At 48.9% G+C, this 23,830-nt stretch overlaps 1 protein-coding gene, 1 long non-coding RNA gene and 1 other non-coding gene across 8 annotated transcripts in view, besides 9 other annotated features; 2 read left to right on the top strand and 1 right to left on the bottom strand.

Annotated features, from left to right (window-relative positions):
- Positions 9,453–9,532: a silencer, noted in NCBI's record as "silent region_7263". NCBI's record gives its function as "represses an Ori minimal core promoter by ATAC-STARR-seq in GM12878 lymphoblastoid cells {active_cell/tissue: GM12878}" and the evidence as "EXISTENCE:reporter gene assay evidence [ECO:0000049][PMID:35858748]".
- On the top strand, positions 9,918–9,999 carry TRL-TAG3-1 (tRNA-Leu (anticodon TAG) 3-1). Its single transcript has one exon. It is a non-coding gene; the product is annotated as a tRNA-Leu (tRNA).
- Positions 10,283–10,412: an enhancer, noted in NCBI's record as "active region_10569". NCBI's record gives its function as "activates an Ori minimal core promoter by ATAC-STARR-seq in GM12878 lymphoblastoid cells {active_cell/tissue: GM12878}" and the evidence as "EXISTENCE:reporter gene assay evidence [ECO:0000049][PMID:35858748]".
- Positions 13,959–23,830, bottom strand: part of SDR42E2 (short chain dehydrogenase/reductase family 42E, member 2) — a 29,246-nt gene continuing 19,374 nt past the window's right edge. For 3 of the 6 annotated variants that reach the window (NM_001394319.2, NM_001365288.2, XM_017023977.2), the window contains 4 exons: positions 23,433–23,498; positions 21,466–21,529; positions 18,916–18,989; positions 13,959–15,571 (listed from right to left, as the gene is read on the bottom strand). In NM_001394319.2, the coding sequence (NP_001381248.1) occupies positions 15,317–15,571; positions 18,916–18,989; positions 21,466–21,529; positions 23,433–23,498 (459 nt within the window). In that variant the 3' untranslated portion in view covers positions 13,959–15,316. Of the gene's footprint in view, positions 15,572–16,244; positions 16,442–18,914; positions 18,990–21,465; positions 21,547–23,432; positions 23,499–23,680; positions 23,765–23,830 lie in introns of those variants that run through there. The other 3 variants (XM_017023978.3, XM_017023980.3, XM_017023981.3) reach the window with 3 other exon arrangements.
- Positions 14,004–14,063: an enhancer, noted in NCBI's record as "active region_10568". NCBI's record gives its function as "activates an Ori minimal core promoter by ATAC-STARR-seq in GM12878 lymphoblastoid cells {active_cell/tissue: GM12878}" and the evidence as "EXISTENCE:reporter gene assay evidence [ECO:0000049][PMID:35858748]".
- Positions 14,564–14,643: an enhancer, noted in NCBI's record as "active region_10567". NCBI's record gives its function as "activates an Ori minimal core promoter by ATAC-STARR-seq in GM12878 lymphoblastoid cells {active_cell/tissue: GM12878}" and the evidence as "EXISTENCE:reporter gene assay evidence [ECO:0000049][PMID:35858748]".
- Positions 14,899–15,398: an enhancer, noted in NCBI's record as "H3K4me1 hESC enhancer chr16:22201633-22202132 (GRCh37/hg19 assembly coordinates)". NCBI's record gives its function as "activates a minimal SCP1, AML or CMV promoter by ChIP-STARR-seq in naive H9 embryonic stem cells {active_cell/tissue: H9 hESC(naive)}" and the evidence as "EXISTENCE:reporter gene assay evidence [ECO:0000049][PMID:30033119]".
- Positions 15,104–15,203: a silencer, noted in NCBI's record as "silent region_7262". NCBI's record gives its function as "represses an Ori minimal core promoter by ATAC-STARR-seq in GM12878 lymphoblastoid cells {active_cell/tissue: GM12878}" and the evidence as "EXISTENCE:reporter gene assay evidence [ECO:0000049][PMID:35858748]".
- Positions 15,344–15,393: a silencer, noted in NCBI's record as "silent region_7261". NCBI's record gives its function as "represses an Ori minimal core promoter by ATAC-STARR-seq in GM12878 lymphoblastoid cells {active_cell/tissue: GM12878}" and the evidence as "EXISTENCE:reporter gene assay evidence [ECO:0000049][PMID:35858748]".
- Positions 15,484–15,573: a silencer, noted in NCBI's record as "silent region_7260". NCBI's record gives its function as "represses an Ori minimal core promoter by ATAC-STARR-seq in GM12878 lymphoblastoid cells {active_cell/tissue: GM12878}" and the evidence as "EXISTENCE:reporter gene assay evidence [ECO:0000049][PMID:35858748]".
- LOC124903666 (uncharacterized) lies at positions 17,698–23,802 on the top strand. Its single transcript, XR_007065028.1, has 2 exons — positions 17,698–17,739; positions 23,563–23,802. It is a non-coding gene; the product is annotated as an uncharacterized LOC124903666 (long non-coding RNA).
- Positions 19,981–20,480: an enhancer, noted in NCBI's record as "H3K27ac hESC enhancer chr16:22196551-22197050 (GRCh37/hg19 assembly coordinates)". NCBI's record gives its function as "activates a minimal SCP1, AML or CMV promoter by ChIP-STARR-seq in naive H9 embryonic stem cells {active_cell/tissue: H9 hESC(naive)}" and the evidence as "EXISTENCE:reporter gene assay evidence [ECO:0000049][PMID:30033119]".

Raw genomic sequence — 23,830 nt, 5'->3', positions numbered from 1 at the left:
GTAGAGTGGCTAAGGTATAAAAAAGAAAACGAATTAAAACTAATAGCTACTGTGAACACTTTAATATTAGGTCCTTCCAGATACTTTGTTAGTGAAATTTTAGAAATTTCACACATTCTAGATAGAAAAGTAGTAACAATGACATGTTTTGAGGGATTTCTCTCATTCCATCTTCCCAGCACTTTGGGAGGCCGAGGCCGGCAGATCACCTGAGGTCAGGAGTTCGAGACCAGCCTGGCCAAAACGGTAAAACCCTGTCTTTAGTAAAAATACAAAAAAGCAGCCGGGCGCGCCTGTAGTCCCAGCTACTCTGGAGGCTGAGGCACGAGAATCGCTTGAACCCTGGAGGCAGAGGTTGCAGTGAGCCGAGATCGCGCCACTACACTCCAGCCTGGGTGAAGGAATGAGACTCCGTCGCAAAAAAACAAAAACAAAAAAATAAAAAAGAAAAAAGAACAAAACTGAGGCTTATAGAGATAATGACATGCCCCAGGTGAGGCAGCTAGAAAAGGCAGAGCCAGCAGTAAATCCAGACTTCTCTGATTTCAAAGTTCAGGCTCTCCAAAGAACTTTTTTCCTTATTTATAAACCCCAAAGAGAGTAAACTCCAGCTTTTGGCAAGACAAAATTGCACCTGGAATTCTGACCCTGGGGCCGTCAGGCAGGAAGGGAAGATCAAAGATGCTGAACTAGTCTGTCCAAGCCCAAAGCAAGATTGGAAAAAAAAAAAAGACGCTACTGCTTAAAGCTCTATGGCCCTTGGGCAAGTTATTTTACTTCTCTGAGCCTCTGTCATTTTTGTCTGCCCAGCAGGAGTGTCCTTCTTTGCATTAGCGTCTTGGTTAGTCTTCAGGGAACCAGTTCACCCTATTTCAGTTCAGGAAAATAGCCCTCCCCACTCCCCTGGCTCCAAAAATGGACACATGACCAGACCTGGCCAATTAGCATATTTCATCCCTTCAGCCTCATTGATTGGTTCAGGGATGAGCATGTGATCCAAGTTAGGCCAGTGAAATACTAATCTGGGCCTTTTATAGTAACCATAAAAAGAGAATGTCTCTTTTCCAGGGAGTTGAGCAGATAGGATGTAATAGTAGAGTTTCTGAGCATTAATTCTTATGGCAAATTTTATTAAGCTCCTATTGTGTGCCAAATATGGTGCTAGGAATTGGGGGAAACATTTGCCTTCAAGGAGATGTCTACTGCGGTAAAATAAAATTACTCAAGGCCGGGCAAGGTGGCTCACACATGTAATGTCAGAGCTTTGGGAGGCCAAGGCAGGAGGATCAATGGGGCCAGGAGTTCAAAACCATCCTGGGCAACATAGCAAGACCCCTGTCTCTAAAATAAAACATTAAAAAAAAAAAAAACCCAGGTATGGTGGTGTGTGCCTGTAGTCTCAGATACTCAGGAGGCTGAGGCAGGAGGATCCCTTGGGCCCAGCAGTTTGAAACTGCAGTGAGCTATGATCATGCAGTGCACTTCAGCCTGGGCAACAGAGTGAGACCCTGTCTGTAAAAATTAAATAAATAAATGAAAAAGGCCAGGCTCAGTGGCTCATGCCTGTGATCACAATACTTTGGGAGGCAGGCAGATTGCTGGAGCTCAGGAATTTGAGACCAGCCTGGGCAACATAGCGAAACCTCATCTTTATAAAAAAATACAAAAATTAGCCAGATGTGGTGGCTTGCATCTATGGTCCCAGCTACTCAGGAGGCTGAGGTGGGAAGAACACTTGGACCTGGGAGGCAGAGTTTGCAGTGAGCCAAGATCCCGCCACTACACTCTAGCCTGAGGGACAGAGTAAGACCTTCTCTCAAAATACAATAACAAAAACAAACCACAAACAAAAAAGAAAGTGAAAAGACAATCAGAGAATGGGGAAAAAATATTTGCAAATCATATCTGATAAGGGATTTGCAGCTAGAATATATAAAGAATTGTTACAACTCAATAATAAAAGATAAATACTCCAATTTAAACATGGGCCAAAGATTGGAATAGACATTTCTCCAAAGAAGATATACAAATGGCCAATAAGGACATGAAAAGGTGCTCAACGTCATTAGCCACTAAGAAAATGCAAGGCCAGGCATGGTGGCTCATGCCTGTAATCCTAGCACTTTGGGAGGCCAAGGTGGGATGATGGTGTGAGCCCAAGAGCTCCAGATCAGCAAAGGCAACATAACAAGACCCTCATCTCTACAAAAAAACAAAATAGAAAAATTAGCCAGGCTCGGTGATGTGTGCCTGTAGTCCCAGCTACTCGACAGGCTGAGGTGGGAGGATAGCTTGAGCCCAGGAGTTGGAGGCTGCCGTGAGCTATGATTGCACCACTGCACTCCAGCGTGGGTGACCAAAAAAAGCAAGTCAAAACACACCCACTACCCACTAGCATGACTATAATCAAAATCTCAGATAATAGCAAGTGTTGGCAAGGATGTGGAGAAACTAGAACCCTCATACACTGCTGGTAGGAATGGAAAGCAGTTTGGCAATTCTTAAAAAAAATTAAACATGAAGTTACCGTATAACCCAGCAATTCAAATCCTAGCAGAAATGAAAACATATGTCCACACAAAAACTTATACAAAATGTTCATGGGAATATTATTCATAATAGGCAAAAGGTGAAAACAATCCAAATGACTGATGAATGCATAATTAAAATGCAGTAGGCCAGGCGGTGGCTTATGCCTGTAATCCCAGCACTTTGAGAGGCCGAGGCGGGCGGATCACTTGAGGCCAGGCTGGTCTTGAACTCCTGGCAACAACGTGGTGAAACTCCGTCTCTATTAAAAATACAAAAATTAGCCAGGTGTGATGGCATGTGCCTGAAATCCCAGCTACTCGGGAGGCTGAGGCAGGAGAATCACTTGAACCTGGGAGGCAGAGGTTGCAGTGAGCCGAGGTCACACCACTGCACTCCAGCCTGGGCGACAGAGCGAGACTCCATCTCAAAAAAGAAAAGAAGGCAGTAGATTCATACAATGAAATACTATTTGGCAACAAAAAGGAATGAAGTGCTGATACATGCTACAACACGGACGAACCTTAAAAAATATGCTATGTGAAAAGAGCCAGACACAAAAGACAACATACTATGTGATTTCATTTATATCAGTGAATAGGACAATCGATCCATAAAGAGAGAAGTAGATTAGTGGTTGCCAGGGGCTGGGAAGGGAGCTTGGGGAGAGGGGGAGTGACTATTAATAGTTGTAGGGTTTCTTCTTTGGGGTGATGAAAATGTCCTAAAATTGATTGTGCTGATGGTTGCACAATTCTGTGAATACACTAAAAACCACTGAATTATACTTTTTTAATGGGTGTATGGGCCAGGCGCGGTAGCTCACACCTGTAATCCCAGCACTTTGGGACGCCGAGGTAGGTGGATCACTTGAGCCCAGGAGTTGTAGACTAGTCTGGGCAACATGGCAAAACCCCGTCTCTGCTAAAAATACAAAAATTAGCCAGGTGTGGTGGTGGATGCCTGTAGTCCCAGCTACTTGGGAGGCTGAGGCAAGAGACTCGCTTGAACTTGGGAGGTGGAGGTTGCAGTGAGCTGAGATCATACCACTGCACTCCAGCCTGGGTGACAGAGCAAGACTCTGTCTCAAAAAAAAAAAAAAAAAAGTGTGTGAATTATATCAGCAATTATAACAGCAATAAAGCTGTCACAAAACAAAACAAAAAAGACTCATGGTGTTTCCATCTCACCATGGTGATAGAGCCCCAGGTCTTACAGTCACAGTCACGTGGCTGTTCCCAACTGCAACAAGACAGGTGTAATCCTCCCATCTGCTCAGGGTGGGGCTGAAGAGCTGCACTGGCCGCAGGCACCACAGGAAGGGTCTGGTTTCCAAACTGTTAACTGCCCAAATTCCCTGTGCACAGTGGGCTTGGGTTGTGTGTTTCACCTCTTTGGCTCAGAGGTCCTGGGCCTACTAGGTATGAGAAATGCCCAACACAGAGCCATCTGGATGGCCCACCTGTAGCTACTGAAAGACTTAAGGAAGTGATGAGACACCACTCGTCTTGTATTTATTTAATTTAGTTAATTTATTTGTGTATTTGTTTTGAGACAGAGTCTTGCTCTGTCACCCAGGCTGGAGTGCAGTGGCACAATCTTGGTTCACTGCAGCCTCCACCTCTCAGGTTCAAGCAATTCTCCTGCCTCAGCCTTCCAAGTAGCTGGGTTACAGGCACCTGCCACCAAGCGCAGCTAATTTTTGGTATTTTTAGTATAGACGGGGTTTTACCATGTTGGCCAGGCTGGTCTTGAACTCCTGCTTCAGGTGATCTACCTGCCTTGGCCTCCCAAAGTGCCGGGGATTATAGGCATGAGCCACCACACTCGACCCCCACTCTTCTTTTAGATCGCATGTTCCTCTCCTACCCTGTGTAAAGCCAGCCCCAGGATGAGAGTGGGACACATCAGGGCTTCGAGTTTTCATTCACCTATATATTTGCACAGGAAAAGATCTGGAAAGTACTTTCTTTCTTCTTTTTTTTTCTTTAAGATGGAGTTTCACTCTTGTTGCCCAGGCTGGAATGCAGTGGCGCAGTTTCAGCCTACTGCAACATCTGCCTCCAGGGTTCAAGCAATTCTCCCGCCTCAACCTCCCAAGTATCTGAGATTACAGGCGTCCGCCACTACACCCAGCTAATTTTTGTATTGTAGTAGAGATGGGGTTTCACCATGTTGGTCAGGCTGGTCTCAAACTCCTGACCTCAAGTGATCTGCCTGCCTCAGCCTCCCAAAGTGCTGGGATTACAGGTGTGAGCCACCATGCCCGGCTTTTTCTCTTTTTCTTTTCTTTTTCTTTTTTTTTTTTTTTTTTGAGACAATCTGGCTCTGTCACCCAGGCTGGAGGTCAGTGGCATGATCTTGGCTCACTGTAACCTCCGCCTCCTGGATTCAAGCGATTCTCCTGCCTCAGCCTCCCAAGAAGCTGGAACTACAGGAGGGCGCCACCATGCCCAGCTAATTTTTGTATTTTTAATAGAGATGGGGTTTTGCCATGTTGGCCAGTCTGGTCTCAAACTCCTGACCTCAGTGACCTCAGGTGATCCGCCTGCCTCAGCTTCCCAAAGTGCTGGGATCACAGGCGTGAGCCACTGTGCCCAGCCCAAACTGGTACTCTTCATAATGGTTACTTCTGAGCTGTGGGATTCGGTTGTGAAGGAGGGCTGTGGTGAGGGAGAGAATTTCCCTGTTAACTTGATGCCTGTGATTTGACTTTTTTCTTTTTTTTATCTTATTCTTTTGATTTGACATTAAAAAAAAATGTACAACGAGCATGCATTACATTACAATTTTTTTTCTTTTTTTTTTGAGACAGAGTCTCACTCTGTCGCCCAGGCTGGAGTGCAGTGGCGCAGTCTCAGCTCGCTGCAACCTCTGCCTCCCAGGCTCAAGCAATTCTCCTGCCTTAGCCTTCCGAGTAGCTGGGGCTACAGGTGCCTGCCACCATACCTGGCTAATTTTTGTATTTTTAGTAGAGACAGGGTTTCACCTTGTTGGTCAGCCTGGTCTCGAACTCCTGACCTCAGGTGATCCACCAGCCTCGGCCTCCCAAATTGCTGGGACTATAGGCGTGAGCCACCGTGCCCGGCCTATATTACAAATTTTAAAAAGACAAAACCCAGGTCCCTTACCAAAGTATTGACAGAGTTTAACTGGGTGGAGACATGAAAAGATATTTTTTTATTTGTGCTTTTCCTTTCTTCGCTTGAGTTTCAACAAGGAAAATGGGTTACTTTTGCAAAAGTTATTTTTAAATGTCACATAGAAAAATAAAAAATAAAAAACCAAACATAGCCCGGCTGCTCTGGCGCCTGTGGCCTCCCCACCCTTGCCTGGCTGTGGCTGGGCTTTGCATGGGCTTTGCATATGAGCTGCCCTGGCAGCGTCACCCTTGAAGGCATGAATCACCAGAGACGCCTCGTCAGCAGGACTGTGGGAGGCCAGCAGGGCGACGGGGCCTGGAGAAATGCAGGGTGGAGCAGAGGAACTGGCGGCCTTGCGTCCAACACTGGATTTTATTTTATTTTTTAAATGGAGTCTTGCTTTGTGCCCAGGCTGGAGTGCAGTGGCACGATCTCTGCTCACCGCAACCTCCGCCTCCTGGGTTCAAGTGATTCTCCTGCCTCAGGCTCTTGAGTAGCTGGGATTACAGGAGTGTGCCACCACGCCCGGCTAATTTTTGTATTTTTAGTGGAGACGGAGTTTCACCATGTTGACAGGCTGGTCTCAAACTCCTGACCTCAGGTGATCTGCCCGCCTCGGCCTCCCAAAGTGCTGGGATCACAGGCATGAGCCACCGCGTCTGGCTCCACCACTGGATTTTTATTCTGTTACAGAAGCAACTCCAGCACAAGGGTTCTAAGCAACTCCAGAAACAGCTCTCATCCCCCTCCCCGAGCCCGCAAGGCCTGCTTTTTGCCTGATGAGGCCTAGTAGGTGCAGGACAGGTATTGACTTGCATTAAATGATCAGAGACAGAGTTAGGGGACATGATGCTGTTGGCAGATGGACTAACTGCCAGAAGATGCTTTGAGCAATTGTAGGGGAATTTACCTAAAGAGGACGCTGCTTCCTTCTTGTGGCCACAGAGGGCAAGTCACAAGTCACAAAATAACTTTTGCAAAAGTAATGGGTGTTCCTCGCTGAAACTCAAGTCCAGACAAAAGTTCTCTGAGCCCTTATATTGGGCAGCTCCAGCTGAAAGCATCTGTCTCTGACTCTTAAGTTCATGTGGCAAGATGGAGTGGACTTAACCAAGAATGCAAAACTATTTTTTTTCAAGGAATATTCCTGCTGCCAACAGTGTTCTAGGTCCTGAGGATACAGCAGTGGATGAACAAGACACCATCACCTGCCTTCCTGGAGTTGACCTCCTAGCAGGGCCCAGTATCATCCTGGGAGAGACCCCCTACTTGAAACAGGGTGTTTGGAGAGATGTGTGTGGAATACCACCAAGTGGCCAGTGCCTGTATAAGAACCCTTGTGGTGGCTGGGCCACGGTGGCTCACTCCTGTAATCCCAGCACTTTGGGAGGCTGAGGCCGGTGGGTCACCTGAGGTCAAGGAGTTTGAGACCAGCCTGGCCAACATGGCAAAACCCCGTCTCTACTGAAAATACAAAAAAACAAAAACAATTAGCTGGGCTTGGTGACGGGTGCCTGTCATCCCAGCTACTCGGGAGGCTGAGGCATGAGAATTGCTTGAACCTGGGAGGCGGAGGTTGCAGTAAGCCAAGATCATGCCATTGCACTCCAGCCTGGGCGACAAGAACGAAACTCTGTCTTAAAACAAAACAAAACAAAACAGAAGAAAACAAAAACCAAAAAGAACCCTTGTGGTGGGAACCCTTGAGATACCAGGAGAGAACAAAGTCATCACCGTCACCCTTCTCATATGTGCCAGAGATTCATCTAAATGCTTGGCACATGTTTAGACACAAGATCTCTCTCTGTCACCCAGGCTAGAGTGCAGTGGTATGATCATAGCTCACTGTAGCCTCAAACTCCTGGCCTCAAGCAATCCTCCCACCTCAACCTCCCAAAGGGATGGGATTACTGGCGTGAGCCACCATACCTGGCCAAATTACCACATTTAATCTGTATTGACTTTATCCTCTGATATAACCGGAGCAGTGCCTGACACATTGTAGGTGCTCATGAAACATTTGCAGAATGAATGAGTTTAATCCTCACAGCAAATCCTGTGGGGTAGATACTATCATTATCACTCCATTACAGGGATGAGCAACTGAGGCCCAGAGAGAAGTGACTTTTCCAAGATCACACAGCTCATGGGAGTTTAGACTGTGTCATTCCCAAGCCCATGGGTTTACCCACTTGATTAGTTTCTTATTGCTGCTGTAACAAATTAACACAAATTTAGTGGCTTAAAGCAACACAGATTTATAGTGGTACTGTTCTGGAAGTCGGAAACGCTAACATCAAGGTGTCAGACACCTTGTGTTCCCTTTTTGGTGCCTCTAGGGGTGAATCAATTTCCTTACCTTTTCCAGCCTCTAGAGACTGCCGACATTCTGTAGCTTGTGGCTACATCACTGGGACCTCTGTTTTCACCCTCATACCTCCTTGAATTCCTGCCTCTTTCTTTTTCTTTTCTGAGATGGAATCTCGCTCTGTCGCTCAGGCTGGAGTGCGGTTGCGCGATCTCAGCTCACTGCAACCTCCGCCTCCTGGGTTCAGGTGCTTCTCCTGCCTCAGCCTCCCGAATAGCTGGGATTACAGGCACATGCCACCATGCCTGGCTAATTTTTTGTATTTTTAGTAGAGATGACATTTCACCACGTTGGCCAGGCTGGCCTCGAACTCCTGACCTCCAGCAATTTGCCCACCTCAACCTCCCAAAGTGCTGGGATTACAGGCATGAGCCATCGCGCCTGGCTACCTGTTTCTTTCTTATAAGGACTTTTGTGATTATATTGGGACCACCTGGATAATCCAGGCTCCTCTCCCCATCAGAAGATCCTTAATTTAATCACAACTGCAAAAGTCCCTTTTGCCACGGAAGGTAACATATTTACACGTTCAAGTGTGGGCATCTTTAGGGGTCATTATACAGACTGCCACTCCCACTTACCCAACTGTCTCTACAACCTTGGATTTTTGTTTGCCATTTTCCTTAAACGTGCAAGGAAATAGACAACCCTATGTGATTGTGAAATTAGGAAAATGCATACTGAAAAGATGGGAAACTCCTGAAAGAGAAGGAAGGGGGAATAGAACTTGGGGACATCAAAGGAGACTTGAATTTTATCTAGAGTGTTAATTTTAATTTTAATTTAAACAATTTCAGGCCAGGCGCGGTGGCTCACGTCTGTAATCCCAGCCCTTTGGGAGGCCGAGGCGGGCGGATCACCTGAGGTCAGGAGTTCGAGACCAGCCTGACCAATATGATGAAACCCCGTCTCTACTAAAAATGCAAAAATTAGCCGGGCGTTGGTGGCATGCGACTGTAATCCCAGCTACTTGGGAGGCTGAGACAGGAGAATCGCTTGAACCTGGAAGATGGAGGTTGCAGTGAGCCGAGATCGCGCCATTGCACTCCAGCCTGGGCAACAGGAGCGAAACTCAGTCTCAGGAAAAAAAAAAAAAAAAAAATTGAAGCGAATATGCAAAATGTTAGTAATAATTCGAGATGATAGGAAATGGAATTTTGCTAGGTTATACTCTATATTTATTGCTTTTTTTTTTTTTTTCTAAAAGCACTAAAATCCTCTGCACGTACGAACAAACGTCTTGGGAGGCTGTGGAATGCCGGCTGGCTGGGGCACCCGAGGCTAGTTACTTAGCATCTCTATTTTCCTCCTCTGTAAAATGGGTCGCACAGCTTATGAAAGCTTAATAGTTTTTGATATGTTAGGAGCCCACACATGCAAAGAATCTGCAACAACGTTCAATGGTTTTCCTCCCTGAACTCTTGATTCTTACATCGCGAGGGCAAGGGCTAGGACATGAGGCCACTCAGGGCTACAGAGGGGCCTTGAACTGGACAGAGCGTCTGCACCTTGGGGACCCAACATACAAACTGGGGCTCCACGCAAGATCCCGGCCCACCCGGGAGGAAGCGGCAGCACGGGAGCGCCCCTACGTGGCTGTAGGCAGGATCACGCCCAAGGAAAACTCAAAATCAAATCCAAACACACTTGTGAGGATTTAATATTAAAAATATTAATTTTTGATATGTAGGCACTCTTCATTTTAATAGTGCGTTCCTAGTGTGTTTACTGCTGCTGATCGCGAGAGCACTGTGACTCCAAGTCTCCGTGAGCAACGCAGGAGACAGCGGTTCTATATTGAGCATGCGCAAACTTTGAGGGCGGGGCGCCTCCGTCATCACACTAATATGCCGGCATAGGAAGCCCTACGATCGGGAGGTAGCGTGGCCGAGTGGTCTAAGGCGCTGGATTTAGGCTCCAGTCATTTCGATGGCGTGGGTTCGAATCCCACCGCTGCCACACCTCAGAAGGTCTCACTTTTCTATCCATAAACCATCTCTTTATGTAGTCCTTTGCCAACTTCTCTTCCTTTTTTCTCCTTTCTGATGTATTTCTTTTTTAAAGCTTTAGATTGCTTATAATGGATTTTTTTTAATGGAAGGGGGAAGGGAAGAGAAAAGGCAGAAACTGCAGTGCAGGCTCTTTCACTGTCTAGCCCAATACACAAACCTCTCTTTCACCTACCCATCCAGCTCCCTCAAAACAAAACAAAAAAACAAAACACATCTCCCCATTTCCAGGGGAAAGCATCTGAGCTAGCTTGAAAAGTTCCCAACAGCCTGTCTGGGTCTTCCTGGGGTTAGTTGGGGGTGGTTGTAATCATGACCTGAGTTAGGGACGGGGGTCCCTTTCTGGCCTGCTCCGTGTACTTTAGAGGGCTCCAGGGACCCCATAAACCTCTGTTGTCAGGTGACCCTGGAGTAGTAGGGGTCTGGCCCTATGTGGGGGTGCCAACCTTGAGGTCTCTGCTTCATTGATTCACCTCTTACTTGGTTTTCAGGCTTGATTTAGGGGCCTTCATTTATAAACAGTTGTTGAGCTGTTTATGAAGGGCCTACTATGTGCCAGAAACCGTGCTCGTCCTGAGGCTGTGGTGGTGTACAAGGCAGGCATGTTTTTGAACCCATCGACTTTGCAGACATTGTCATTTTAATTAATTACACCTGTGAGGAGTGTTAGGCAGTACAGCATGCTAACCTGGCCCCTGAGAAGCAAGGAAGTGACATTTAGCTGGGGCCTGAAATTGAGATTAGCCAAGTGAAGGCGTGGGAGGGGATTTCCAAGAGGGAACTCCTAAAGAGCCTGGTAAGGCTGAGACGCTGTGAAGGTAATTCAGGGCAGCTGCACAGAGAGTGGAGGTGGAGTATTGGCAATAGGTGAGGCGAAGAGACAGGCAAAGAGGGCCATGAATGCCGAGTTAAGGCTTTGAACTTGGTCCCTTCCCAAGGGCAATGGGAAACCATGGAAGGCTTTTGAGCTAGAGAGTGGCATGTTCCAATTTGGAATTTAGAAAGTTCACTGGTTGGGCACGGTGGCTCACACCTGTAATTCCAGCACTTTGGGAGGCTGAGGCGGGTGGGTCACCTGAGGTTAGGAGTTTGAGACCAGCCTGGCCAACACGGTGAAACCCCGTCTCTACCAAAAATACAAAATTTAGCTGGGCATGGTGGTACGCACCTGTAATCCCAGCTATTTGGGAGGCTGAGACAGGAGAATTGCTTGAACCTGGGAGGCGGAGGTTGCAGTGAGCCGAGATCGCACCACTGCACTCCAGTCTGGGCGATTGAGTGAAACTCCGTGTCAAAAAAAAGAGAAAGAAACAAAGAAACAAAGAAAGAAAAGAAAGTTCCCGCTGGCAGCAGGGACAGGAGGTCCCATTCAATGCCTATTGCAATTGTCTAGGAGAAAGGACAGTGGTTTGTACCACAATAGTGGCCGGGTGCGGGACAGAAGGAGTGAGTCAGGGAGACATTTTAGAGATAGATTTGACAGAATCCACAGATGAGCATGTCGAGAAGAAGAGGATCACGTCAAAAGTGACGCCCAGGATTTGGGCTTGGGTCATTGGATGGCTGGTGGTGCCTCTCCTCTCCTGGGAGGGAACACAAGATAGATGGAAAGCAGGTTTGTGGGAGATGATGACTTCAGTTTGATTTTCATTGAGCTGGAGATTCTTGTGGGATATGGGGTTGAGTAGGAGGTTGGACATAGATTTCTGGAGGTCAAGAGAGCACTCCAAGGAAATGATACAGATTTGGGAGGTATTAGAGACTGAGGCCATGGGAAGGGATGAACTCATCCAGAAAGATCCCACAGAGGGAGAAGAGGGGCCAAGACAGAGACCCGAGAGACATCATCTTAAAGGGAGGGCAGTGGAAGAAAAGCCAGTGAAAGAGATGCGAAAGAGACGGGAAAGGACTGGCCAGCAATATACGTGGAAAACAGGTGTGGTTTCATAGAGACCAAGAAATGCGGATCAAGAAGGAGGGGGCAGTCAACTATGCTGAACACAGCTAAGATAATTGGCAAAATAAAGACGGAAAAATATCTATTAAGATTTATGGACAAGATCATTGATGATCTGAAAGCCATTTTGGAATGGGTTGAGGAGAAGAAATGGAAACATAAGTATGGTCAATTCATCACAAAATTTGATTTTGAAAAGGAGGAGCAAAAGGAACAGTTGTGGGAGGGAAAATGGGGGAATCAAAGGAGGATTTTTTTAAATTTTAAAGATGGGGTCTCACCCTGTTGCCCAGGCTGGAGTGTAGTGGTGCAATCATAGCTTACTGCAGACTCAAACTCCTGGACTCAAGTGATTCTCTTGCCTCAGCCTCCTGGGTGCCACCACACCTGGCTAATTAAAAAAAATTTTTTTTTATGTAGAAGCAGGGTTCTCACCAAATCGCCCAGGGTGGTTTTGAACTCCCGACCTCAAGCAATCCTCCAGCCTTAGCCTCCCAAAATGTTGGGATTACAGGTGTGAGCCACTGTGCCCTGCTGGGAAGATATTTTCAAGATGAGAGAGACTTGAGGATGTTTTAGATGCCTGGCATTGGGTTTACAACTGGGAATAGCTTCAGCACCCATAATGGAAAGCCTATGAGTTTGTCTTGATAATCCCTTCAGATCGACTATGTCACCTTGGGCTGCCCACTGTGACAATTCTGTTTTCTGCATTTGCGATGCTTCTCTTTAGCGTCTCCAAGTAAGCTAGAACCTCCTACTTGCCCTTTCAGAACCTCATGGAGGCTAGTGGTCTGGGCAGTCTCAAAAATTCTTACAGTGATTCAGTTTTCCTGTTGGGTGGGGATGCCACCTCCTTTTCCATTGGATAAAGATGCTTGAAAGGAAAAAAGCTTTTTTGACATAGCGATCCATGTTGTCCCCATGCCCAGGGTTTACACATTCTGCTTCCAGAGTGTTAGGAAATAGATGAGTTGGAGAAATCCAGAAAACAAATAAATTGATTCTTGGCTTTTGGATTTTCAAAAGTAGGTTTGGCACTAGTCAAAAGATCTAGAAAATAACGTGAGCAGTGTGAGATTGTTTTTCCTGCTCGAAGAACAGATTTCCCAGGATTAGCAGGGAGAAGAAAGAGAGGAAGGAAGTGAGTTTGGATGTAAACATGTTATCGAGAGGAAAGGAAGCCCCAGGACCGCCAGCTTCAAATGGTCCGAGGTTTGCGGCTCTGAGAGAACGAGACCAGAGTTCAACCGCAAGCCTTGGCATGGCCAGAGTGTAGAAGAGTAGAAGTTACCACGTGTTGTGTTTAGGCCAGTGGCGGCTTAGGCGGTGCTCCTCCAAATTCCCCCAGCTGTAGAGCAGAAACCCCCACCCTCCTCTGCTCTTTGGAATGAGACAAAGCCCCAGTTTTCGTCATCTATAAAAGGAGAGTAATAAACCCTATTTAAGAGTAGCTGTAAGAATTAAATAAGATCACATAGATGAAAGCTCTTTTACACTGTCAAGCATTAAACAGACATAGGATTATTATTCTTTCAAAAATTATATACACACATAAAATTCAGCCTAGCAGAGAGGAGCATACATTTTTTTTTAGCTCCTTCCCAAACTGCTCACCTTGTTCAGCAGAGTGGGACACACACTGCGGTGGCCATGTTGGTTCTGATGAGCCCTTTCGATCCCATCCACCTCAGGCTTGTGGTGCTTTTCTTCTCTGCCAGTCCCACGTGTGCATATTATGATCTATACATGGTTGTATTTACACACTGATGTCTTGGTACTTACAACTGATAACTGATACCAAGATGATAGGAGGCGAAGTTTCTGTGGAGAGCAGGGCTAGATAAAGAAGTTTCGTGACCTTAAACTTTAAAGATTATGGTGATTACCACTACCTCTAATTAATAAATAGAAACAGTACTAAATCATAAAATATAACCAACTAAACTCTATTTTTCCCATTATAGCTTTATTGGTACTTCATCGAGACATCCAATTATTTTAAGAGTTTTTTTTTTTAAATTTTTCATGCTCTTTCTGGTACTAAAACCTGTGCTTACTATGCTGTCATCCTCAGACAGGAACCCAAAAAGGCCAAGTCGGGCTCGGCAGAAGCTTGAGTCTCGGTTTTTCCCCAAACCCTGGCTGTCAACACACAGATCTGTGTGAATGAGAAGCCCAGAACATTGGGTCGGGGTGGATCGAATGCAATGTTACCAGACAGAGCAGCAGCCGACGGCGCAAACTCATACCAACGTCACCCGAGCCTGCGTTAGCCCATAGCGACGCGGCAGCCTGGTTCCGGGGAGAACCTACCCGGGAGGCGGAGCTGGAAAGGGGTGAAGCCAGAGAGGGAGGGGGCGGGGCCAGGACTCAATTACACGCGAGAAGGGCGGGACCGGGTCCAGAGGCAGGAGCAAGGACAGACCCAAAAGGAGAAGCCAAAGGGTGGGCTCAAGCGCGCGGGGAGGACCAGAAAGGGGGCGAAACCAGAATGAGGGAGAATCTGGGGGTGGGCCGGGACTGGGCAGGGACTAGGAGAAGGTCCAGAAGGCGGAGGAAGCTGTGAGCCTTGGCCCATATCAGAAACCGGACAGGCCGGAGGGAGGAAAAAAGGGGCAGGGCCAGGGCCTGGAGGGAGGGTCATGGACGTAGGAAAGATTCAGGGGGCGGGACAGAGGCGTGACCAGGACTCAGAAGGCGTGCCCAAACATGGAAGGGCGGGAAGGGGCGTGGCTATGACATGAAGGCGGGGTTAGGCCTGGAGAGCGGCTCAGGACTAGGCTCTGAAGTCAGGGGGCGGGGAAGAGGCGTGCCCAAGCCGTGAAGCAGGGGCGGGGTTATAAAACGGGGGCGGGGCTAGGTCTGGAGGTCTGCTCAGGGGCTAGGCCAGGAAATCAGTGAGCGGGGAAGAAGGCGTGCCCAATTTGAAGGGCGGGTCAAGGGCGTGGTCAAAACATGGAAAGAGACTCGGGGCTACGCGTCTGGGCCGACCAGGGACGTGGCCAGGATTCAGGGGGCGGAGCAGGAGCGTGCCCACTTCGGAGGGCGGGGCGGGACAGGACAGGGGCGGGGCCAAAACACAGGAAGGGCGCAAGGCAAGGTCTGGGAGTAGATAGGGGCGTGGCCAGAAGTCGGCGGTCCGGGCTAGGTCTGGAGAGCGGCTCGGGGGCGTGACCAGGATTCAAGGGGCGGAGCGGAGGCGCGCTCAAACCCAGAAGGCGGGGCAGGGGCTGGTACAAGCCCAGGGAGCCGGGCGTGGGCGAGGGTGCAGCGGGGCCGACCCTAGCGGGCGGCGGACGGCGGACGGTCACAGGCGCTCCACGGCGGCGTGCAGAGGCTGCAGGCCTAGGAAGTGCAGGGCCAGGGCGAGCAAGCCGAGGAACAGCAGCAGCCTGAGCAGCAGGCGCAGGAGGGTCCGCGCCGTGGAGCCGCGGGGCCGCCGGGTCGTGGACTGCACGTATAGCTCCACGGCGTCGGCGAACCTAAACTTATCCGGCGCGTAGCCGAGCTGGGCGCGGGCCTTGGCTATCTGGAAGGTGTGCGTCACGGCCACGCTGCGCACCTGCGGGGACAGGCGGGGCATCCGAGGGCGGGCCTCGTGGGAGGAGGACATCCTCTACTTCGTTGTTTACGGAAAGGGAAAAGAGAGGGCAGGGATTTCCCCTCCATTACATAGTGATTTAAAAGGACCCGAGTGCAGCGTCTTGCTCCTGCGATGCCCTCATTAGAGAGGTCTTCCTTTCTTCCTTACATGTTCATTTTTATTGGAGGGTGCCGCCTTTGCGTCGCCCCCTCCAGCCCCGCTGAATTCGCACCCTATTTAACTCCTTGGTCCCTAAGAAGCAAAGGTCTCACCCCTACACTCATCTTCCCGGCCTAGCACGGTGCTGGGACTCAGGAGGCCCTTGATACATTCTTAGGCATCCGCTAGGAGAAGGTGAACGCCTGCCAGAAACATCTGCAGGAAACGACCTTGGCTTCCTGCCCCCAACCCCAGACCAACTGTGACCAGGAGGGCCCCAGTCGCAGCCTTCATGCCCTCGCTTATTAACTAAGCTTCCCTAAGAGAGGAATTCGATTATGCAGAACTGATTGCTCTCCAGGGTCTAAGCTGTGTTTCCCCTGCTGCCAGATGGCTTGGGGCCCACTGGTTTGAAGGGTAGTAATGATAGCTATCAGCAGTTAAGGAACACACACCCTGCATTTGGCCTGGACTAAATCCTTTCTATGCCCTACCTCATTTAATCCTCTCAGGTGGTACTAGCACTATCTGTTCTGTGCATACTTGGAAAAAGGTCAGAGAGGTTGAGTGACTTGCCTGGGGTCGCACAGGGGAGCCAGGTTCTAGCCTAATTTCTTCTCTGCTGTGCTGGCACCTGGAGATGTTCTCCCACCTGACTCATTTCTTCCTCTCTTTTTCCTCAGCCGGACCCTGGGGAAGAATCCACCAGCTGCTGGATTCTCCCATGGCATTGAAACAGCCCCTGGGGTCAAACCTGTGGTCTTGGATGCTTAATGGGGGGTGAGGAGAGAGGCCAGTATTTGTCCCTTTTTTTCCTAGTCAGTAAGTGCAGGGCTTTGGGGAGCACAGGAGTTGAGTTACGCTAGATAAGCAGGGTCCCTAATACACCTAGATGTCTCTAGATGTCACCTCTGGGAAGCTTTCTCTGACTTCCTCAGAGTTGGCTGAGGCGCCCCTTCTGTGTGCACTGGAGTTTCTCGCGATTTTCCCAAGAATGGCTCTAATTACAGTGTTGAGTTGCCTGGTTAGTGGGCTGTCTTCCCCTTTGAACTAGGAGCTCCCTAAGGGCAAGGACTATGTCTTCTTGCCTCCGTTGCTCAGCACAGTGCCTGGTAACATTTATGTTAAATGCATAAAAGGCTATAAAGTCAAACTGGAGGGCTGGTTGATGTGTCACAGATTGACCAGCAGAGGGTACCCGAGCCACAGCCAAGGAACTTCCACAGTTAAGGACATTGCCCCTGAGCTGAACAAGGAAATCCCCAAGTTAAACAAGAGGGAGAGGAGCCAAGTCCCTGCCTGACCACAATTCAGCTGCACCCTGGCAGCTATTTTATGTGGATGTGATTCCTGATGCATTTTCACAAGCTAATGGTTAAGCTTGAAATCACTGAGGTCTGGGTTCAAATCCCAGCTCTACCATTTAAGTGAGTGATCACGGGCAGGTTATTTCACTGTGTGTCTCATTTCCTCCTCTCTAAATGGAGAGGACAATGTTGTCTACAACTCAGTTAAATGAGATAAAGCACAGTGCCTGGCATACTGTCACAACTCAAGAGATTGTCAGTATCATCTTATTCTCTCCTCCACTGATCCGGATGGCTCAAAGGAGAAGCCATAGGTGACTACTTCTTTCTGTGGCCCATTCTCCACTCTCCCCCTCTGACTCCCCTTGTTAAAGAGCACTGAACATGGAGTCTGAAGCCAATTCCAGTATGGTGTGGCCTTGGACAAATAATTTTCCTAGTGCTCAATTTTTCATCATAAAATGGAGATCACGATTTTTTTTTGACCTTTTTAACTTAGCAGGGCATCAGAGACAATAAAACGAGAGTGGACTGGAAGTAATTTTTTTTTTTTTTTTAGATGGAGTCTTGTGCTGTCACCCAGGCTGGAGTACAATGGTGTGGTCTCAGCACACTGCAACCTCCACCTTCCAGGTTCAAGCGACTCTTCTGCCTCAGCATCCCGAGTAGCTGGGACTACAGGTATGTGCCACCACACCCAGCTAATTTTTGTATTTTTAGTAGAGACAGGATTTCACTGCGTTGGCCAGGCTGGTCTCAAACTCCTGACCTCAGGTTATCCACCCGCCTCAGCCTCCCAAAGTGCTGGGAACAAGTGTGAGCCACCGTGCCCGACTGGACTGGAAGGATTTTTGCAAATAACCTCAAATACCACCGATTACTTTGCTATTTACAATCTGTGATGAAAACATCCTCTCTTTTAACTAAGCAAATATAAACCTGCATCATCATTATTATGAGAATAGTATTCTGAGCCAGGCATGGTGGTGCATGCCTGTAATCTCAGCTATTTAGAAGGCTGAGGGGGGAGAATCTTTTTTTTTTTTTTTGGTTTTTAGGGGCAGGATCTCCATCTGTTGCCTAGGCTGGAGTACAGTGGTGCAATCTGCAGCCTTGAACTCCTGGGCTCAAGTAATCCCCCACCTGAGCTGGGACTAAAGGCATGCACCACCTTGCCTGGCTAATTTTAAAATTTTTTGTAGAGATGAGGTCTTGCTATGTTGCCCAGGCTGGTCTCAAACTCCTGGCCTCAAGTGATCCTCCTGTCTCAGCCTCCCAAAGCACTGGGATTATAGGTGCGAGCCACCACACCTGGCCAAGAGGATCTCTTGAGCTCAGGAGTTTGAAACCAGCCTGGACAATATAGTGAGACCCTGTCTCATAAAAATAATTATATTCTGTATGTAGTAGGTACTTAATATATACTCATTATTCAGTAAGCATGAACTATGAGCCTAGGACCACCAGGCTGTTGTGTGTGTGTATGTATGTGTTGAGAGTTGGTGGGATTGGTAGCATTCAAAGAAGTGAATGGCCTGAAACTTGCCTTTGGGAACCTCCAGTCTGGCTGGAAAGACAAGATGCTTATGAATGAAGAAACAGTGATGATGGATAGGCTTGGAGCTGTCACATTTCAGACCCAGAAAGCACAGCCTCAGCAAAAGCCCAGAGGTTGGGGTGATCATAACAGAGCTAGCACCAGCTTTGGGCCCACATGGAAAGTTCTGAGACTTCAGACAAGCATGTGTCATCATGGTGTCAAAGGGGTAAGGAGTGGCAGCAGTGGGGATGGTGGGGAGAGGTAGGAAGGGAGGGATGGGGAGCAGGGCCTAGGTCCCATAACAGCAGCCCACTTACCTCACTACGAGTGAGCAGCGGTGGGAGGCTGCAGATGGGTCTCAGGGCCAGATGGAGGCGCTCCATAACTGCTGCTGCAGGGAAGGAGGGGGCCAGTGACCAGGGGCCTCACATTATGCAAACTCCAGGGAGGCCCTTGGGGACAAATCAATGGGGGACACCATTTGCTTTGCTAGAGGTCACTTTGCAGAAGTCACTGGATTCCTTTAAATCAGCAGCCCTTGCTGGGGTGCCTTGTTTAGCTGTGAAATATGTCACAAGTAACTTGTTTTTAATATTAAATGACCAGGCTGGGTGCAGTGGCTCAAGCCTGTAATCCCAGCACTTTGGGAGGCTGAGGCGGGCGGATTGCCTGAGATCAGGAGTTCGAGACCAGGCTGGTCAACATGGTGAAACCCTGTCTCTACTACAAATACAAAAATTAGCCGGGCGTGGTGGCACATGCCTGTAATCCCAGCTACTGGGGAGGCTGAGGCAGGAGAATCGCTTGTACCCAGGACGCAGAGATTGCAGTGAGCTGAGATTGCACCACTGCACTCCAGGCTGGGCAACATAATAAGACTCCGTCAGAAAAAAAAAAAAAATTGAACGACTGAAGTTTTTAAATAAATCTGAACAGATTCAAAGTTATCCATATAATAATCTCTCTCTCACTTCTACTCCAATGCTCTCTGGAGTAGGAGAGAAAGAGGTTGGAGTAACAGTTCTCAAACTGGGCTGCATGTGGGACCAATTTAAAAATAATACTTGTGAGAACCAGGTGTGGTGGCTCATGCCTGTAATCCCAGCATAAGAGACTGAGGAGGGAGGATCTCTTGGAGCCAGGAGTTCAAGACCAGCCTAGACAACAAAGTGAGACGCCCTCATCTCTAAAAAATTTTTGAAAATAGCCAGGCATGGAGGTGCATGCCTGTTACCTCCACTACTCTGGAGGCTGAAGTGGGAGGATCGCTTCAGGCCAGGAGTTCGATACCAGCTGGGGTAACATAGCAAGACCCCCATCTCTACTAAAGTATAAAAATTAGCTGGGCCTGGTGGTAGGAGCCTGTAGTCCTAGAGGCTTGAGAGGCTGAGGCAGAGAATTGCTTGAGCCCAGGAGGTTGAGTCTGCAGTGAGTTATGATCATGCCACTGCACTCCAGCCTGGGTGGCAGTGCAAGACCCTAACTCTAAAAAAATAAAAAATACTGATGCTTTCCTCCCACTTCCTCCCTGCTAATCCCAATTTAATTGGTCGGTAGTGTGGCTGAGACATTTCTCTATTTTAAAAGCTCCCAGGTGACTGTGCAGTGCAGCCCTGGTTGAGAAGCACTGAATTACTGTTAGCCCACTGGGAACTGGGAACGCCTTTACAATCCTCTCCAAGTGCCATCGGCCGTGGCTCAGGGCCGGGAGTACCAATCACTGCGGCAATGCTGTGCATGAGAAGTTGCCCTGCATGTGTTCCCTGGTGAACAAAAATTTGCAACCCCCTGCTTTTAATGGCAAGCCACTCGATGCATTTAAAACACAAGAGATCCTGCCAAGGAGTCCCTGGAACACAGCTATTTGGGACTGGAGGGCCACCATCCCCTCAGGCTGGTCACTCCATGTCTGAAGGCTGCTCTGCCTTCCAGCTGGGAGGAGGCCATTGTATGGGTGCTGGGGACAGAGGGAAGGGGAGCAGCCAAGACGCATTGTCGGGGGTGGAGGTGGGAGCAGAGACTGACCTTCAGGGACAGGAGGAGAATCTAGGATCAAAATGGAGCCTCCGTTTGTCCTAAAGTAGCCCTAACTTCAGGGTGACCTTGGGGGACAGAACAGCCCCAGGGTTCTCTCTCCTCCTGACTGGCATGAGACCTCCCAGCAGCACCACAAAGAGCCCACCAAGCCCAGTTGTGAATTCCGCCTCTCCGCCTCTCCCGCATTCTCACTGTGGCACTTTGAGAAAGTCACTAACCTCTCAGAGCCTCGGGTCACCTCATCTTTACAATGGGCCCATCATAGCTGCCTTGCAGGTGGGACTAGGGTGAGGGAAGTGAGACACCTAGGGTGTGGAATTTAAGGAGGCACTTGCTTCCGGCACCAGACAAGTGCAAACTCAGGCTTGGAGCTGCTGCGTGGCCTCCTTAAATTTTGTGACCACAGTGCCTCACTGTCCTCACCCTAGTCCTGGTCCTGCCTGAGTTTCTTTTTCTTTTCTTGTTTTTCTTTTGAGACAGAGTCTCACTCTGTCACCCAGTCTGGAGTGCAGTGGCGGGATCTCGGCTCACTGCAACCTCTGCCTCCTGGGTTACAGCAATTCTCCTGCCTCAGCCTCCCAGGGAGCTGGGAATACAGGCGTGCGCCACCACACCCGGCTGATTTTTGTATTTTTAGTAGAGATGGGGTTTCACTGTGTTGGCCAGACTGGTCTGGAACTGCTGATCTCAGGTGATCTGCCTGCCTCAGCCTCCCAAAGTGCTAGGATTACAGGCGTGAGCCACCGTGCCTGGCCCCTGAGTTTCAATTAAGGCAATGCAAGGTACACCTGGCACATGGAGGGCTTTACTACGCACACTCCTTTCCTTACCTGTCAGGTAAACCCAGGAAGTAGGCACCTGGATCCAGGGCTGGCTGTACCCCAGCTTCTCAAACTGCAAAGAAACACGACCTGGAGTGAGAACAAGTGGTTCAGGGGCTGGTGTGGAAAGACCACATGCTCCCTCTACCGGGGACCAGCAGAGGTACCTCCTGTCTCCCCACCAACCCACCCCAGGGGGCAGACCCTGCAGCCAACCCCAGGCCTGTGCCAGTATTGAAATGAAATCCGCACCTTGACCCAGAAAACCCAAGGAGGAATTGAAAGCATGGGTTAGTTAAAATTTTTTTTTTTTTTTTTTGCAGAGAATCAGGGGTCTTGATGTGTTGCTCAGGCTGGTCTTGAACTCCTGGCCTCATGTGATCCTCCTGCCTCAGCCTCCCAAAAGTGCTGGGATTACAGGCATAAGCCATTACACCCGCCAGGTAGCTTTTTAACTTGGGATCATTCACATCATTTAATTATCACCTACATCTGTCTATACCTAGAGACACTCTAAGGCATTTATGTAGAATCTGATTTTTCCAGAATTGACTTTTCTGTGGAGGGTGGTAGGATATGCAGCAGAAATGGGCTGGCATGGGATAAGGTGAACTCTTCACTGGCATAAAAACTTTCCAGGTCAAGAGGAAACCTGTGTCCTTTAGCCTGGGTTTTCTGGTCTACCCCTTCCAGGCAAGCCTGGCTGCTAGGAGTCTGGGCTGCTCAGAGAGGACACCAGAGTTCCCGGGCTGCCGTGTGGGGAGGCCCCAAAGCCAAACACCTCCCTTGCGCTTTTGTCTCTTCCACATGCCTCCTTCCGAGCCTCAACACATAATGGGTGGCTCACAAGCAAAACTCCACAGGGCTAGAAGCCAACATAAATCTGGAAGCATCGAGATCAGCCTGGCCAACATGGTGAAACCCTGTCTCTACTAAAAATACGAAAATTAGCCAAATACAAAAAATTAGCCGAGCAGGGTGGTGTGCACCTGTAATCTCAGCTATCAGGAGGCTGCGGCAGGAGAATCGCTTGAACCCAGGAGGCAGAGGTTGCAGTGAGCTGAGATCGCACCACTGCACTCCAGCCTGGGTGACAGAGTGAGACTGTCTCAAAAAAATGAAACAAAACAAACGCCTGGAAGCAGGGTGGAAGGGAACTGCAGGTAACTGAGGAACACATGGCGCCCCTCAAGGGCTCCAGCCAGTTCCAATGTTGCCAGAGGTGTTTTTTTAAAAAAATTGATTTTTAGAGATAGGGTCTTATTCTGTTACCCAGGCTGGAGTGCAGTGGTGCAATCATAGCTCACTGCAGCCTTGAACTCCTGGGCTCAAGAGATCCTCCCGCCTCAGCTGCCCAAGTAGCTGGGACCACAGGTGTGCCAACACCATGCCTGCCTAGTTGAATTTTTATTTTTGCAGAGACAGGGGTCCTCGCTTTGTTGCCCAGGTTGGTCTCAAACTCCTGGCCTCAAGCGATCCTCCCGTGTTAGCCTCCCAAAGTGCTGGGCTTACAGATGTGAGCCACCTCACTGGGCAAAGAGTTGGTTTTTGACGTGAAATCTTCTGGCTTTTTGGAAATCGAAAAGGACAAGAAGAGAAGGCCGCAGGCCGAGCACAGTGGCTCATGCCTGTAATCCCAGCACTCTGGGAGGTCGAGGTGGGTGGATCACTTGAGGTCAGGGGTTTGAGACCAGCCTGGCAAACATGGTGAAACCCCATCTCTACTAAAAATACAAAAAATTAACTGGGCGTGGTGGCGTGTGCCTGTAATCCCAGCTACTCGGGAGGCTGAGGCATGAGAATTGCTTGAACCTGGGAGGGGAGGTTGCAGTGAGCTGAGATTGTACCACTGGACTCCAGCCTGGGTGACAAGAGCAAAACTCTGTCTCAAAAAATTAAAAAAAAAAATAAAAAGGAAGAGAAGGTCAGGGATCCCAGAATGATCATTCGGGGTGGGTGGGCATCTGTGCACCTACCAGTGGGGCCATCCACTCAAAGAGGTTGACGCTCTCCCCATCGTTGATGTAGTACGCCTGCCCACTCTGAAGGGGACATGTGGGAGGGGACGGTCAGCCTTCTCCCCAGCAGCCTGCCCCACCCTTCCAGATGGCTCCCAGCAGCTGCTCCAACCCTGAGTTCTCTGGAGCAGCTCCAATACCTGAGGACACACGTGAACTATTCCCTGTGAATTCCAGGACGACCACACTGACTAGCTGTGTGACCTCCATGGAGTTGCTTAACCTCTCTGTACTTCAGTTTCTTCATCTGAGAAATGGGAGGATAATAATGGGATCTCCTTCTTGGACTACTGTGAAGATTAAATGCGACAATATGTGTGGAGGCTTAGCATCTGGCAGCTGTTATTCTGGGATCA

The sequence above is a fragment of the Homo sapiens genome, chromosome 16 (genome assembly GCF_000001405.40).
Source record: "Homo sapiens chromosome 16, GRCh38.p14 Primary Assembly".
Lineage (NCBI taxonomy): Eukaryota > Metazoa > Chordata > Mammalia > Primates > Hominidae > Homo > Homo sapiens.
Note: the sequence above shows the minus strand (reverse complement) of the source record. Positions and strands in the feature narration are given on the sequence as shown.